General features: G+C 35.5%; 1 protein-coding gene and 1 long non-coding RNA gene across 15 annotated transcripts in view; one reads left to right on the top strand and one right to left on the bottom strand.

The window, feature by feature from the left end:
- LOC124902383 (uncharacterized) overlaps nucleotides 1–16,092 on the bottom strand; it is a 121,044-nt gene that overhangs the window by 21,405 nt on the left and 83,547 nt on the right. The window lies entirely within an intron of this gene.
- MINDY3 (MINDY lysine 48 deubiquitinase 3) overlaps nucleotides 1–16,092 on the top strand; it is an 82,334-nt gene that overhangs the window by 23,112 nt on the left and 43,130 nt on the right. For 11 of the 13 annotated variants that reach the window (XM_005252600.3, NM_001318330.2, XM_006717508.3 and 8 more), the window contains 4 exons: nucleotides 78–192; nucleotides 2,780–2,853; nucleotides 3,687–3,766; nucleotides 15,670–15,740. In XM_005252600.3, the coding sequence (XP_005252657.1) occupies nucleotides 136–192; nucleotides 2,780–2,853; nucleotides 3,687–3,766; nucleotides 15,670–15,740 (282 nt within the window). In that variant the 5' untranslated portion in view covers nucleotides 78–135. The remainder of the gene's footprint in view (nucleotides 1–77; nucleotides 193–2,779; nucleotides 2,854–3,686; nucleotides 3,767–15,669; nucleotides 15,741–16,092) is intronic. The other 2 variants (XM_047425776.1, XM_047425775.1) reach the window with 1 other exon arrangement.

Raw genomic sequence — 16,092 nt, 5'->3', positions numbered from 1 at the left:
AAATTTAAAAATTTTCCCTTTTATGAATGTAGTTAATCTCATCATGATACCAATACTTAATTCTTTTTTTCCCCCAGAAAAAGATCGTTCAGAAGTTTACCAGAATTAAAAGATGCTGTCTTGGACCAGTATTCAATGTGGGGAAATAAATTTGGAGTATTGCTTTTTCTGTATTCTGTATTACTGACAAAGGTGTGTTCAAGAAGATGATTTTTCTGCCTTTGATTAATGTTGTTCAGTGCTGTTTTTCCTGCAGTGATGAGTAATTTTATTCCTGATGGTGTTTTTAAATTCTTAGAATAAAAATCTTTTACGTTGAAAATGAGTTAATTTCTGTTTCCTCAGCACTCACTCGTTGCTTAAGCAGTTTCACCTCTGCTCTTTTGGACTACAGAGATTATCAATAATGTTCTGGTTGTGAAATGCTGTCCTTTCTTCCAAATTGTGTTTCCTTTGATCCTTCCGTGTAGCACTTGACCCCTTAACCCCTTCTGGAAGCTGTTTTTGACCTTGATTCCATTTCTTGATTTTTTTTTTGAAAAATCACTGTGTGAGTTTTCTTTCTATAATGTCTCACGATTCTTATTTTGTTTTGTTTTCTTTGATAGCTTTGTTTCCTTCTTTATCTGTTACCTCCTGCTCTTTTCTCTCCTCCTCTAAATTTTTATAGTCCAGAAATTTTCTTCCCTGGATCCAGTATGCCTTTTATGGATATTTCATTTGCTCAGGTTACCTTTATATAGCTATTTAATAGTTCCAATATGTCCCCTTCTAGTCCTACTCTTTTTCCCCAAATACCAGTCTCATAGCTCTAGTAACGTGTTAGTCTCAGTTGACTATGCTATTAGATCTATCATGTCTGAAATCAAACTTCTTTTATTTGACAAATGTTTTTTGAGCGTTGATTGACTCTATGCTAGGGACTATGTCTGTATTAATAATATGGGATGCATTTTTAATGGTATCTATTTAGCATTGTAAAAAAATGGCACATTAATAATTCCATTATGGCAGTGTGTTTTGGCGTTTGGTCTTCTGTCTGAACCTATTAGATGGAATCAAGGGCATACTGTTTCTAGTAGGGACCATCTGACAGAGATAGGACCTTGATGCATGAGGGCAAGTTTTCTATATGGGAAAGCTGGAGGACATTTTTTCCAGCAGTGGGCACTGCAAGTATAAAAGTGTAAGGGATTGAGGGTATAATGCAGGTTTGGGGAGCTCTAAGTAGTTGAGCCTTACTGTAGCATAAGACACCAGAGAGGCAACTGTGGAAGATGAGACTGGGCACATATGTAAGAAAAGACTTAGAATATGAAGACCTTTCTATGTACACTGTACAAAGAGTAGGTTTCATCTGCTCAGAATTGGAACACAGTAAAAAGTTTGAACAAGGGAGTGACAAGATCTTTTTGTTGATAAAAGATATCTTAAATTGGGATAGGAGTTGTGATGGATGGAGTTGGTGTTTGTAATATAAGACTAGAGTCAGGAAAACTAGAAAATTGGGTATTGAAATAAGAGCAGCCTAAACTAGGACAGGTCATGGAATGGAAAACAAAAGGAGTATATTTAGAAATGTAAATAAATACCTATTTGGAATATTAAATGTAAATAAATAAGAGAACCCAAAGTGCTTAGTTGTGTAGATGTTCGGAGTAGCTGTGATGGTGGTATCTAAGATGACTGGTTTCTTATAAGCTCTTCTTGACTGTTCAGTATTCTCCAACTTTCTTATGCTCAAAACGTTTGATACCTCCTCTGTTTCTTCTTCTTTACAGCCAATAAATTATCATGCAAGTTGTCCTTCCTTGACCTGGTCTTTAAAATGGTATCCCCTTCCTCAGTAGTGATTGTGTCACTTGTTGATAGTATTCATCTTGACATTATCATAGCCTGATTTGTATTGTTTAGGAGGATGGCATATGCAAGAGCTCATGCTTCTTTGTTTCCCCCTGCGGGATTTAGTCATTCTTTAAAAATCTTGGTTGTTAATTAATCATCTATTTAATTCTTAGAAATGACCTCTAATATGATAGAAACAATGGCTAAAGTTAAGTGAATAGAACAATGAATAGCAGTTTATCTTTGTCCTTCTGGAATTGATGAGGTTACAATAAGTAGGTCTTCTTGTACTTATCCAGTATGTAGAACTTTTGGGAGTTGAGTGCCCTTCTGAAGGTTTAAAAAGTATCAGGAAATTGGTTTTTAAGAAAAGAAGGCACTTCCTGCCCTCCTAATTTGCATTTTGTCAGTATACATTTGAATGACCAACATTTGTGAGAAAGTACAATCAGAAGTAAACCTTCCATTTTATGTACCAGTTAAATAATTAAAACGCAAATTATTTAATGTTATATCTCTATCGATATTCATGTGTGTATGTATTTACTGCAATAAGTTTTTACATGATCTAAAAAAATCAGTTGCCTTAACAGGCTCATATTCATTTAACTTTTAAATAATTCATTTAACTATTAAATAATTTCTCCTTTCTCCTATTAAAAGTTAATTCTCTCTCCTTGCCCTTTTAACCAACGGTACATATTTCACCCATGAGTGTTGTTTATATAGAGCCCATGAAAGAAAATAAAAGATATTTGAGGAACTATTTTTTAAAGTTATCTCAAATGCACCCCCATTTCAAATCTGAGTTACTTGTGGTAGAAAAGTTACTTAAATAATTGTATTAGTTTATAGTGTAAACTAGTCAGTTTTTAAACAGTCATAATTTTCATTTTAGTTTTTTAAAATAAGTCAATGAATTCTGTTTCTTTAGGGCATTGAAAACATAAAAAACGAAATTGAAGATGCAAGTGAACCCTTGATAGATCCTGTATATGGACATGGCAGGTAATTAACTAAAATCTCTTGTCTCCTCATGTGAACTCCAGTTTTTAGAAACTTGACTTCAGATAAAACATGACTGAGTCAAGTAATTTTGTTTGTCAGTAGTGTTGACAGTACAACATGTATGGATTTGAGCACTTCTTTGTATTATGCATTGTTTGCTTGATGTATGAAATGTTAATTTCATTTTATGTATGCATTTATTGGGGCAAATATTTTGTTTTAAGATAACAGTGGGGAGGTATTTTAACAAATCCATTTGTAATTTTTTTAAATGAGAAAATTTATTCATTTTGACTTAGAAATAAGTATATCTTTGTAAGTGCTTCTCTGCTTGGGAGAAAAACATTCCCCATTTTCCTCTCGGACCACCCTCCTCAAGCTTTTTATGGCTATTTTTACCAAAACTCAATGAAACAGTGATAGTTAACCTACTCTAATACGTGAGTCCTTCTTTTTAGACCTTTCTGCCTGAAAGATGAAAGTTCATGTATCTTTCATCAAAGACAAAATATTAATAATTATATATTCATTTTTAAAGATTGTAAATATTAAGTAACTTATTAGTCTGTCATTTTTTATCCATTTAAATATATCTTAGATAAAGTTGTTAAATGTATGTGAATATGTAGAACAATAAATACCACTGTGCTGATATATTTGGTGATACATTTAGCAAGGCCGAATATATAAAATTGAAAATGTAAGGTTTTCCCTAACTTTGTAAATTCTTACATAATTTAATGTGAAAAGTCATTACTTTATACTTTGCTGTAGGAATTATTTGATTTGGCAACTATATTCATATTTAATTGCTTTTTAATATTTATTAATAGCCAAAGTTTAATTAATCTCCTGCTGACGGGACATGCTGTTTCTAATGTATGGGATGGTGATAGAGAGTGCTCAGGAATGAGTAAGTATATTCCTTGTTATGTTGCTCTCTTTGATGAATAATATTTCATTGGAATACAGCTGATTATTATTCGTCTATTTAATGGCTCTACATTACCTAGAGGTTAAGTGTTTTCTAATAGAAGAATCCTTTACAGTTTTCAAGGCACCATAATGTTAAGACCATTAATCTTGGAGCCAGGCAATCTTGGGTTCAAATCCCAAATGTATGACTTTAGTGAAGTTACTTCTCAGGCCTTTCATTTTCTGTGGTATAAAACTGGGATTTATGACTCTTAATATGTATAAACACAGTGCATATTTATTCAGAGATATTACTGCACTCTTTGCTTAAAATGGAGCATTACAAAGCCTGGTGGTGTGAAATACTTACTTTGGGTTTTTGCCTATATTACTTTTAATGTGCGTACTTTAAAACACCGAGCAAATTTAATACTGAGACTTTTAAATTACCAACTCTTCCACTACCACTTCCATTTCTGGTCTCAATTATTTCTTTCCTGTGGCTTCGTATGTTGTCAGGCACATTGAAATGGATCCCATTTTGGCCAATCCATTCCGTTAAGGAGAGCTGATACATAACTGAATAAAATTCCCTTCACTTTATTACTGGGTCAGTCTGAATTCATTTATTTATTCATTTAACTTACATTAAGTAACCACAGTGTGCCTCTCTGAAGTACGTAGCATAGGACACGAAGCTCCAGGGTTCCCAGAGCTCACAGTCAAACAGAGCAAATATAATTGAGAAAATAATAGTTACCACTTTTTGCTCCCATTGAAGTGATTCATGATCTTCCATTTGAATTTTTCTCAAATTCAGAAATGTGTAGTTAATTAACAGAAACATGAAAGGGCATAATATTAAGGAAAAAATCAGTAAAATTAAAACTTCAGAATTAAAAAGCACCACAGTACAACCCGTTTTACTGTTTAAAAAATTTAAGAACTAAGTTCACTTCTTATTTAATTCATATGCAAAATTATTTACTTAGTGGTGAGGTTAGAATGAGAGCCAAGTTTTGGTGATTTCTAGTAAAGGTCAGAGTTTAAACAGTGAAATTCGTGAACAAAAAACTACAAATTATCTTGCTCAGCTCTCTTTAATTGAGATCATCCTATTCTTCAACCCTTAATCTGATTCATAGCTGAAAGCATTTAATCCTGTCAATGAAAAAAAAAATCTCATTTCAGTGTCTCTTGGGTAATATACAGGGTTTTTTGGTCTCTCTGTTTCTCTGTCACCTGTGATGGCTTCTGTACACTCCCGTCTTTCTTCTTCTTCCAGTTGTTTCTGGACCCCCAGGTATCTTATCTCATATGATTAGGGAAGCAATAGGTTCTTGCTGAACTTGGGTTGAGGTGCCTCATCCCACTTGGCCCTCTGTCCTTGATACTTCTTACTGTGTGCTCTGGCCTGACCCTTCCCACACTGTCTTTAGCGCATCACTCTCTCTCACACTTGGTACTCATCAGTGTGGTTCATCTTTCTACGCGTTCTCCGGATTCTCGATAGCTTACCCTAGTCCCCAAACCAGAATACTCTTCTGCCTCCCTAGGCTCTTCCTCACCCAACCTCTCGTAGACTGAGATGAGATAACTTTCATTGGCAGGACTAACAGTCAGAATGAGGTTTCAAGAATAGGAGGCTCCATGTCCGGGCACGGTGGCTCATGCCTGTAGTCCCAGCACTTTGGGAGGCCGAGGTGGATGGATCACCTGAGGTGAGGAGTTCGAGACCAGCCTGGCCAACACAGTGAAACCCCGTCTCTACTAGAAATACAAAAATTAACCAGATGTGGTGATGCATGCCTGTAGTCCCAGCTACTCAGGAAGCTGAGGCAGGAGAATTGCTTGAACCCGGGAGGCGGAGGTTGCAGTGAGCTGAGATCATGCCACGGCACTCCAGCCTGAGCAATAGAGCGAGACTCCATCTCAAAAAAAAAAAAAAAAAAAAGAAAAGGAGGCTCCTTAGGCAGCTCTTGACGTGAAGTCGTTACTTCCTGTACAGAATATATTAGTCAATTATCAGTTTCGGTTCTTGAGATGTACACATATGTCGTTTTTGTTCCTTGAAATAGTGCTTTTCAAGGCTGTCATCTTGCTGTGGACCTTTTTTCTGTATAGTTTAAAAGCCAAAACTAAGCAATAACTTTGAAATAGCTAACTTGGAAAAGAAAATTGGGTATATTTCTTGCATTTTGGAATGTTTGTTTGAAGCGAATGTTCAGTCATCAAACTTAAAAATGAGAAAAATACCCCATTTATATTTCACTGAACCTTCTTGGTTTTTCCTGGATAACACATAGTACACATTTTCCCTCCCACTGCCAGGCTGATTATTGCTAGAAAAGAAACCTCATTACAAGTTTCATTGGTTGGGCGTACTCTAAATTAATCCTACTTAAACTCATTTAAACTCTTACTGCTGACTGCACATTGTAACCCTTTTTTCTACTCCTCATAACTCCTTTATCTACCACTGCTTGAGGCAGTGAATTCAAATCCCTTCTCCTCTTTATCTGTCTCTAACTTTACCTCTGCCCACTCACTCTCAGCTGACTTTAGAATCTCAAGTTGTCTTTTTTCAGCATATTCTTTTTTCCTGTTTTAGAAGAACTATATATCTTTCCAGAGTTACTGTTGATTCCATTTACGGTCTCTGCTATTAAATGTGATTCTCTTCCCTGGTCTACACAAAATTTAGGTGGCTTCTACTGCCTAAAACAAAAATCGTGATGTGTAACGACCAGGCCACAAACCTCTTTCTCTCCATCCTTTCACCAGCAGAATTTCCTTGCCCGCATCGCTAAAATATTTACTCTCTATGATCTGAAATCTGTGTCATTTGTTCTTCTAAAGCAAAGACCTCACTACCTGCGAAAATCGTAGCCTTTTTCCTACCCCTCATTCTCCCTGAAGGTGGCACACTGCATGGCTCATTTACTAACTCTGTACCACGGACAGAAATCTTTGGATTAAAATCTCAATCTCAGCTTCTTCTCTATGAATGGGGCAGATATCTGCCTCTCAGGTGTACTGTGGAATTTAAAGAAGATGAACTCCCATGCCATCTCACATATGTATTACAGCACTCAAGACTAACATGTAGTGTAAGAGGCAGTGTATCATTAAGTATGTTAGCTGTGTGGAATTAGACTACTGTGGTTGGAATCTCAGTTGCGCCATTTATTAAACTGTGTGGAATTAAACAAGATGCTTCACTCAGTGCCTCTTTCTCATCCTCCAACGGGAATGATTATCACAGGATAGTTAGAATGAGGTGAGAAAATGGCAAAAAAGAGATATTCATCAAGTCCTTGAGCACTGTTCAATACATGTTTGCCACTGCTGCATAATGAGCACTCTTATCAACAACTGGTTCTCAAACTTGTCTGCACATCACAATTAACTGGGAGAAATTTAAAATCATCAGTAGTTGTAACTGCCCTTTATAGAAAATTGAAACACTTGAGGGCAGACATTGGTTATGCAGCTTGCCATAATGTTTTCTGATGTTACTTTATTCAACAAGCTTTATTTGAAAACCTGCTAGTTATTTGTACCTTACTGTCATGTATCTAATGAGTTGCTGAGTCTTCGAGATTCTCCATTCTCGAAATTTGTCTCACAGAGGCCAAGTGGTACCGCAGGACACTGTGCCATGGTGGAACAAGCAGAGGCCTCGGGTGTGGCGATGGCACCAGTTAGTTTATGCCTCTGCTGTTTGACGGTGGGCAAACTGCTAAATTATCTGAGCCTCGGTTTTCTTACCTGTGCATTGAGGTTAAAAATACACATATTCATATATGCTGCCTAGCGCAAGCACAGAAATGCTAGCTGCTCCCTTTTTTCTTCCTTTGCCAAGTCTGTTGTGGTCTCATTACTCTCACCTGTCTAGACTATCATGCTATAGCTTTCTGTCTGTCATTCCACTCCAGTATATTCTGCAAACTGACAAGTTAATGATTTTATTTTACACGTCCTGTTAGGTTATTTCTCTGCTCAGTGCCTTCAATGACTCTCTTGCTAATGCTTGCCAACTAAAGTTTCAGCTTCTTAGCATTCAAGAGCCTCTGTGTTCGTACTCAACCCTATGTTTATAATCTTTTACTAGTCTCCTTCACAAATCCAGTGCTTTAATCCACTGGTTCTCAAACTTGGCTGCACATCACGATTAACTAGGAGAAATTTAAAATCATATGCCAAGGCCACACCACCTAGAGATTGTAATGGAATTGTTGTCAGCTGGAATCTGGGCATTCATATATTTTTAAGCAAGTGATATTGTGTAGTCAGGGTTAAGAACCACTGTTCTATTCAGACGGCTCTGCCTCCCGGTCGTTAAAAACAATGGTACTTTCCCCAAAATGTCATCCTGCTCATTCCATCTGGCCCCATTAAAATGTTAACTCCCATTTAATGTCTCTCCACTTAACCCCGACAGCAGGAAAAGTTTTCTCCTCCCTCTGATCATCTATGGTGCTTTACCTCAGTCGGCTTCATTCTATTACACCTCGCATCATAGTTCTTTGTGTACATGTTCTTGCTTCTGTAAACGAGGTGCCTAGGCTTTTGAGGGAAACTGAATTTTTTCTGTGGGCCAGTGTAGGCATTTTGGAAATAGGATCTTAATCTTTACAACAACCCTTCAAGGCAAGTATTACTCCATATGTTATGAAGAAGGAAACTGAAGCCTAGAGAGGTAAAGCAGCTTACCTAAGGATTTTCAACGAGTAACTATTTAATTGTAATTTTTCTTTCTATATTGCCTGCCTCCTACTATGTTGTCAGAGCAGGAAACAAGTCCAGTAAATGCTGAATGAATGTATGTCTCATGTTAGTAAACGTATTTTTTTCCTAGTCTGTTTTTTGCCTTGAGTTTCCTTATGGTAAACAGTTAGATTGTTTCCATTTTTAGCTATAAGAAACTGCTGTAGTAAACATGTTTTGTATATACGTCTTTCCTTATATAAGTATACCTACAGGTTAGATTTCTAAAAGTAGAAAGTGTATTAAAATTTTAGGCATCTGTTAATTTTTTTTTTTTTTACTTATAGCTTTATTGAGATACTCACGTATGCATGTCACCCATTTAAAATGGACAATTCAGTATTTTAAATATTTTCTCAGAGTTGTTTAGCCATCACCACAATCAATTTTAAAAAATTTTGTCATCTTAAAAAGAAAGCCTGTCCTCCTTATACTTCCTTCCACGCCAGCCCTAGCATCCGCTCATCTACTTTCTCTCTATAGATTTACCTGTTTGAGATGTTTCATAGAAATAGACTCATACGCTATCCGGTCTTTGGTGACTGATTGATTTCACTTAGTATAATATTTTCAAGGTGACCATGTTTTAGCATGTACCAGTACTTCACTCCTCTTTATTGATGAATAACATACCATTGCACAAATATACCACATTCATTTGTTCGCCAACATGTGGAGTGTTTCCACTTGGCCATTATGAGTAATGCTGTGAGGTACATTCATGTACAAGTTTTTATGAGATGTATATTTTAGTGTTTCTTTGCCATAGACCAAGGAGTTGAAATCCTGGGTCATACGGTAACTCATAAGGTTTAACTTCTTGAGGAACATCTGTTAAATTTTGATAGATAATGCCAAATGTCCTTCTAAAATTTGCTTTATCAACTGGTAAAAGTATAAACTTATTCTTTGAAGTGTGTAGGAGAGTTCGTATTTTTCTGCATCCTGCCTGACACTTAGAATTGTCCATCTTTAACATTTTGTCAGTTTGTTGACAAGTGATAGGCTGTTTTAATTCACATTTCTCTGGTGCTCATTGAGCCTGAGCTTGATCATCTCTTCACGTGTTTGTGAGTTTTGAGTATTCTTCTTCTGTGAATTACCTCTTCCCATCTTTTTGGCTTTTGGGGAGGAGGAGTTATTTTCTTTTGTTCAGTTTCTAGGAGCTCTTTATAAATTCTCTTAGTTCTTCCTCTGTTTGACCTGTGTTGCAAATATTGTCACCCAGCCTTCTCTTTCTTGTTAACTTTGTTAATGATATATTTTTTTATATCCAAGGCTTTTATTTATTTATTTATTTATTTATTTATTTATTGAGACGGAGTCTCACTCTGTCACCCAGGCTGGAGTGCAGTGGCACGATCCTGGCTCACTGCAACCTCTGCCTAACCCGGGTTCAAGCAATTCTCCTGCCTCAGCCTCCCGAGTAGCTGGGATTATAGGTATATGCCACCATGCCCAGCTAATTTTGTATCTTTAGTAGAGACGGGATTTTACCATGTTAGCCAGGCTGGTCTCGAACTCCCAACCTCAGGTGATCCGTCAACCTCGGCCTTCCAAAGTGCTGAGATTACAGGCGTGAGCTACCGCGCCTGGCTGGCTTTCATATTTATGAGGTTAAATCATTTGGTCTTTTTTTTAGATGGCTTCTATTTGGGCTTTTTTTTTTTTTTTTTTTTTTACTCCTGTTATATCAATTTTATGTGTCTCCCACCCCCAGATTTTTTATTTTCATTTTTTAGAGACGGGGTCTCGCTCTGTCACCCAGGCCATAGTGCAGTAGTGCAGTCATAGCTCACTGCAGCCTCTAAATGGGCTCCAGTGGTCCTCTTGCCTCAGTCTCTCAAGTAGCTGAGACTACAGACGTGCACCATCATGCCCGGCTCCACCCCAAGATAATATTCTCTAGTATTTTCCAAAAATGCTTTTGTGGGCTTTTTGTTTTTTAATGTTTGGCTCTTTAGTCTATCTGGATTTTGTATTTATGAATGGTATGAGTTTGGGATCTGCCTTTTGACTTTTTCTCAAAGAATTATCTAATGTCCTAATTCCAGTCAGTTCTCCACAGATAGGAAATACGTTTTTTGTTGAACACATTTTTCCATATTTACATGTTTTTATTCTATTCCACTGATCTTTTTGTGACTTCTTATGCAAAACTTCACAATTACATAGTTTTATAATATACTTTGATATTCATTAGCATGTTTCCTGATGTTATACTTTTACAAAATTGTCATAGTCTTTTCTACATTATCTATTCCAGTTGAACTTTCCTCCCAGCTCTTCAAGTTCCAGTTTTAAGAAATCTTTGAAGATTTGGATTGGTTACATTATATTTGTAGGTTATTTTGAGGAAATTATATCTTTACATATTATCTTCCCAACTAGATTGTTTTGTACATTCTTTAGTGAAAAATATTCAGTGTTTTATATAGATTATATGGTCCTGAATCCATATACTTGATTCTACCCCAGTTTTTGAAACCATCTTTTGCTTCTCCAATAGAACAGAAATAAGCTGCAGTAGAACTAATCAAATTAAATGCATTCTTGCCCACTCTTTCACAGGGGCTAGTGTGATATTTTTCAAACTCAGTGAGATCATGTTTCTCTCTCCCTTAAAACCATTCGATGGCTGGCTTCCCTACGCACTTAAAATAAAATCCAAACTCCTTCTAAGGTTCTCAGATCCTTTTGTGGTCTTTCTCCTCTCTACCTGCCATCCATCTTCATTTCGTACTATTCCATGTATGTTGAGCTAAAGTTTTCTTTGATTTTGATTTTCTGTAGATTAATTTTGTCATGGTCTCTTTTTTATCTTAAAGGAATTCTTCAGTATTTGTACATTATTTTTGTCCATATTGTTTATTTATTTTTGTATGCTTATTTGATGATTATTTTTATTTTATAATTTTCTTTATGGGATAGGGATAGAAGAGTCAACTCTTGTAATTCAGAAACCCAGAAGTTTCTTGGTTTTTTGTGGGTTTTTGTTTTGTTTTTATAAAAAGAAATCAGTATTACAGCCAGTCAAATGCATAGCTAATTGAAAGATGATGGACTCATACACAGAATAATGCATATGTTAATTAGCTCAGTTTAGCCATTCTACAGTGTATACATATTTCAAAACATGTTGTACACGGTAAATATATACAACTTTAATTTGTCAATTATAAAATAAACAGAAACGGATATTATAGTTAGGCCAAAAAATAGTCATGTTTCTCTGGTGCTTGTCTGGTTATATTCCACTTAATATGTGGAACTCCTAAAAATGCAGTCAGAAACTGAATGAGTTTTGATGGTTTGTTTCATTCTCTTTTATATAAGATAATCAGTTAGGCTGGGTGTATTGGCTTGTGCCTTTTAATCTCAGCAGTTTGGGAGGCCAAAGCGGGAGGATCACTTAAGGCCAGGAGTTTGAAACCAACCTGGGCAAGAAGGCAAGACACCGTCTCTGATAATAAAAGATAGTAAATTAATTCTGGCAAAGAAAACAAGAATATAATCACAAAGTAATTTGAATTTTTTTGCAAATGTAGAGTACATGCTTGGGACCAGAAGCATTTAAGATTTCGATTTTTTTCAGATTTGGAAATATTTGCATTTTTCCTCACCAGTTTAGCATCCCTAATCTGAAAATCTGAAATCCAAAATGCTGTAATGAACATTTCCTTTGAGAGTCATGTTGGCTCTCAGAATGCTTCAGATCTTGGAACATTTCGGATTTCAGATTTTCAGATTAGGAATACTTGAAAATAGACACTTTCAAGGCTTATTGAGAAAGTCTCCTACAAATAAATTCTATAAATCGTAACATGTGAGAATATTAAATCCTCACTGTATTACAACTTGGCATAAAAGTAAATTTTCCTAGTGTGATGCTCTTGAAACTATCATAAGAAGGTAAAAATGTTAAGTATATATTCTGTTTAAGAAAACAGGCATAATACATTTTTAAAATAATTACCATCCAGACTAGATGTCTAAGCATGTGTTTACTGATCAAATCTAAATAGTTCATTACCCAAGAATTATGAACAACTAGTTTGCTGTATTTAGTAACATGATATTATTATTAGACATTTGTTTAAAAGTCCAGGGAAATAGATGATGTAGTATCTAATTGTAACACTAGGTGGTGGTAACTGATTTTAGAAATTAAATTGTGAAACTGTTTCCCAATGTATGTATTCTTTTTTACATGAAAACATTTAGTGTTGCTTACATTTAAGAAGGAAAGGGAGAGAAAAGTTTGCGAAGATATGAAGTATCCATTTATACCTATTTGGGCTGTTCTTCTCCTCTCCCTTGTTTTGCTTTAACCTGAAGATTCTAAAACCTTTTAATCTCATGCCCTTTACACTCTTACGGATGATCCCAAAGCAAATAATCAATGTTTTTCATGTTAAAGATTGAGAAATTTTTAAATACGTATTAATTCACTTTAAAATAACAGGTATATGAAAAAATGTTCAACATCACTGATCATGAGAGAACTACAAATCAAAACCACAATGAGATGTCATCTTACCCCAGTCAGAATGGCTGTTAAAAAACAACAAAAGTGTGGCGAAGATAGAGAAAAGAGAACTCCTATATGCTGTTGGTGGGAATATAAACTTGTACAGCCACTATGGAAAACAGTATGGAGATTTCTCAAAAAACTAAAAATAGGATTACCAGATCCAGCAATCCCACTACTCAGTATCTACCCAAAGACAAAGAAATCAGTATATCAAAGGGATACCTGCACGTGCATGCTAATTGCAGCACCATTCACAGTAGCAAAGCTAGGGAATCAACCTAAGTGTCCATCAACAGGTCAATGGATAAAGAAACTGGAATTCTATAAACAATAACAAAGAATGAAATCCTGTTATTTGCAGTATACGTGAATGGAACTGGAGGTCATAATCTTAAGTGAAATAAGCCAGGAAGAAAAAGACAAAATCACACGCTCTTACTTATATGTGGGATCTAAACAAATTTGATCACATGGAGGTAGAGAGTGGAATGATAGATAACAGAGACTGGGAAGGGTCAGTGGCAGGCGGTGGGAGAAGCATGAGGGGAGTGGGTTAGAGTACAAACATACTGTAACATGGAGTAAATTCAATATTTGATAGCAGAGTAAGATCACTATGCTTAAGAAAATTGCATTGTACTTGAGCAGTGGATACTCTTCATACCCTGGCTTGATCATTATGTAGTATATGTGTTTAAAGAAATTTCACTTTTACCTCCTAAATTTGTAGAAATAAAACATAATTTAGAAAAAAACAAAATATACTCATTAATATTAACATAAATAACATTTTTAATAAACTTAACAAAAATTAAGGAGAGTGACGTTGTTTTAAATTTTTGCAAATCCCTTTAATGCTTGGCTTATTAGTAGACAGCCGGATCTTCATATATGCTTATAAATTTAGTCTGATACAATATAACAGATCAACCTCTGTAAAACTCTGTGCTTATGAGAGAGTAAGTGTAAAAAGGTAATTAACATCATATTATGAAAATCATGTTGATCTCACGTAGTCTCTAAGAGGGTCTTGTGGTCCCTGAGGAATCCTAAACCACAATTGAAGAACCATTGCTCTACCTGATCTGTGCCTGTAAGAAGCTAGTGACAAAGTATAAACTGTATGTATATGCACCTTCTATTAATTTTGGATTTACCAATCCAGAAAGTTAAACTGTCAGCTCTTGCCTTACACCATCTAGATGTTGTAGTTAAGGCTACACAGTAAAATGTTGGCCACAAAAATAACAGAGTTAATATTCTTACTACATTCATTGATAAGAAAATATATCCTAATGGAAAAATGGACAAAACATGACCAGATGGTAAAAAGGATGCAAAATTATATATGCATTATGTTTACAGTGAACATAATTTTTACCCAGAAAGAAATGCTTTTTAGATATATTATGGACCCAAATATATTATTATATTAATGTATGTTAGCTGAAGGGTATCGTTTATGAAAAGACTTTATTATTATCACATTTTTATTCCCTGCGTTGTGTCTGTTCTGACTTACCCACTTCCATAACTTTAACTCTCATCTCTATGCTGATGATTCCCAAATCTTTATCTCCAACCCTGACGTTTCTCTCCTGTATTCCTGAGCCTTACTTCCGGCTATTTATCCCTCTCTAGCTAGAGCACGTAAAGGTACCTCAATCCCAGCTTAGCTAAAACCAAACTCATGTTACCTCTTCACACGAGTCCAGAACTTACTTCTTAATTCTTTGTGTTAATCACTATTTATCATGTCCCCCCAGACCAGAAACATTTAAGGAAACTTTGCCAAATTCTTCATTCCTTAAATGCATCGATTTTTCATACCTGTTTGTTGTTTCTTCTGCTTTGAATTTTCTTGTCATCCTCTTTTTGGCCTGGAGAACTGTAATACGCTTCAAGATTCAACTCCCTGTTATCACTTTTATAAGCCTTCCCTAACACTGTAGGCAGATACTCTCATACCACTCCGTGTGTGTGTGTGTACAGAGAGACCACATATGTTTTTTTCATCTGTCGTCTTTGGTAAAGTCATAGCCTTTCTAAGGCAGAGATCATTTTCTATTCTTCTTTATTTCCCCAGTCTGAAGCACACAGCCTGTGTTTATAGGAAAGAGGGATGGCATTAAATGTCCATGTTTTAAGTATTAGGCAAGTGGAGTCACTGCTACCTAATGATAAATTTTACCAGTGATTAGCATATCCATTTGTTTTTCAAAATCAAAGTCAATTCAAGTTAGCCCTTTTACATAGGTATTGAGTCTCTTTTTCTTCTTGTATTTTTGTCAACAATGGCATGGATTTCAGGGAGTAAATTCTCTCATTTAAAAAGTTAACATTGAATATCAAGTTTTATAAATACATTTAATATACATCTAAAGCATCACATTTACCCACCACAAACCTGATCTAATGGTATTTTATAATGAGCAGTACTGTAATGATTACATGCTAAGTTTTAAAGTATAGTTTTGGGTAAAAGTTAAAAGTTTTGGTGTAGTATAAATATATATACATATAAGTACGTTTCAAATTTATACACACTACTACAATGCTAAGTTTTCGTTTTTTGTTGTTGTTGTTGTTTTTTGCAGAACTTCTTGGTATACATGAACAAGCAGCAGTAGGATTTTTAACACTAATGGAAGCTTTAAGATACTGTAAGGTAAATTGATTTTTAAGGTACTTTGAATGTTTTTTGTTTAGATGTCCACTATTGTGGATACTGTTTTGTTCCTCTGACAGCACATTTGAGCACAGCACTATGGTTCAGTACCGCTCTCTTCTTCCTTCCTATCCCCCACCCTAAACCAGCAGGGTTATTAAGTGTGGTTAAGCCAGCTGATTATGCTGAGTTTCCTATGCTAGGTCTGTTGTTATTTTTGTCGGAGGAGGGGCAGAACCCAGTACAAAATAATTCAAAAAAGCCACAGACATCTATTATTGAATATGAATTTATTTTTGGCAAAATGAGGATGAAGAAAGCACTGTTTCTTTATTACCTAACGAAGAATATG

Source organism: Homo sapiens, chromosome 10 (assembly GCF_000001405.40).
Source record: "Homo sapiens chromosome 10, GRCh38.p14 Primary Assembly".
Lineage (NCBI taxonomy): Eukaryota > Metazoa > Chordata > Mammalia > Primates > Hominidae > Homo > Homo sapiens.
This window is presented reverse-complemented; position numbering and strand designations above follow the sequence as displayed.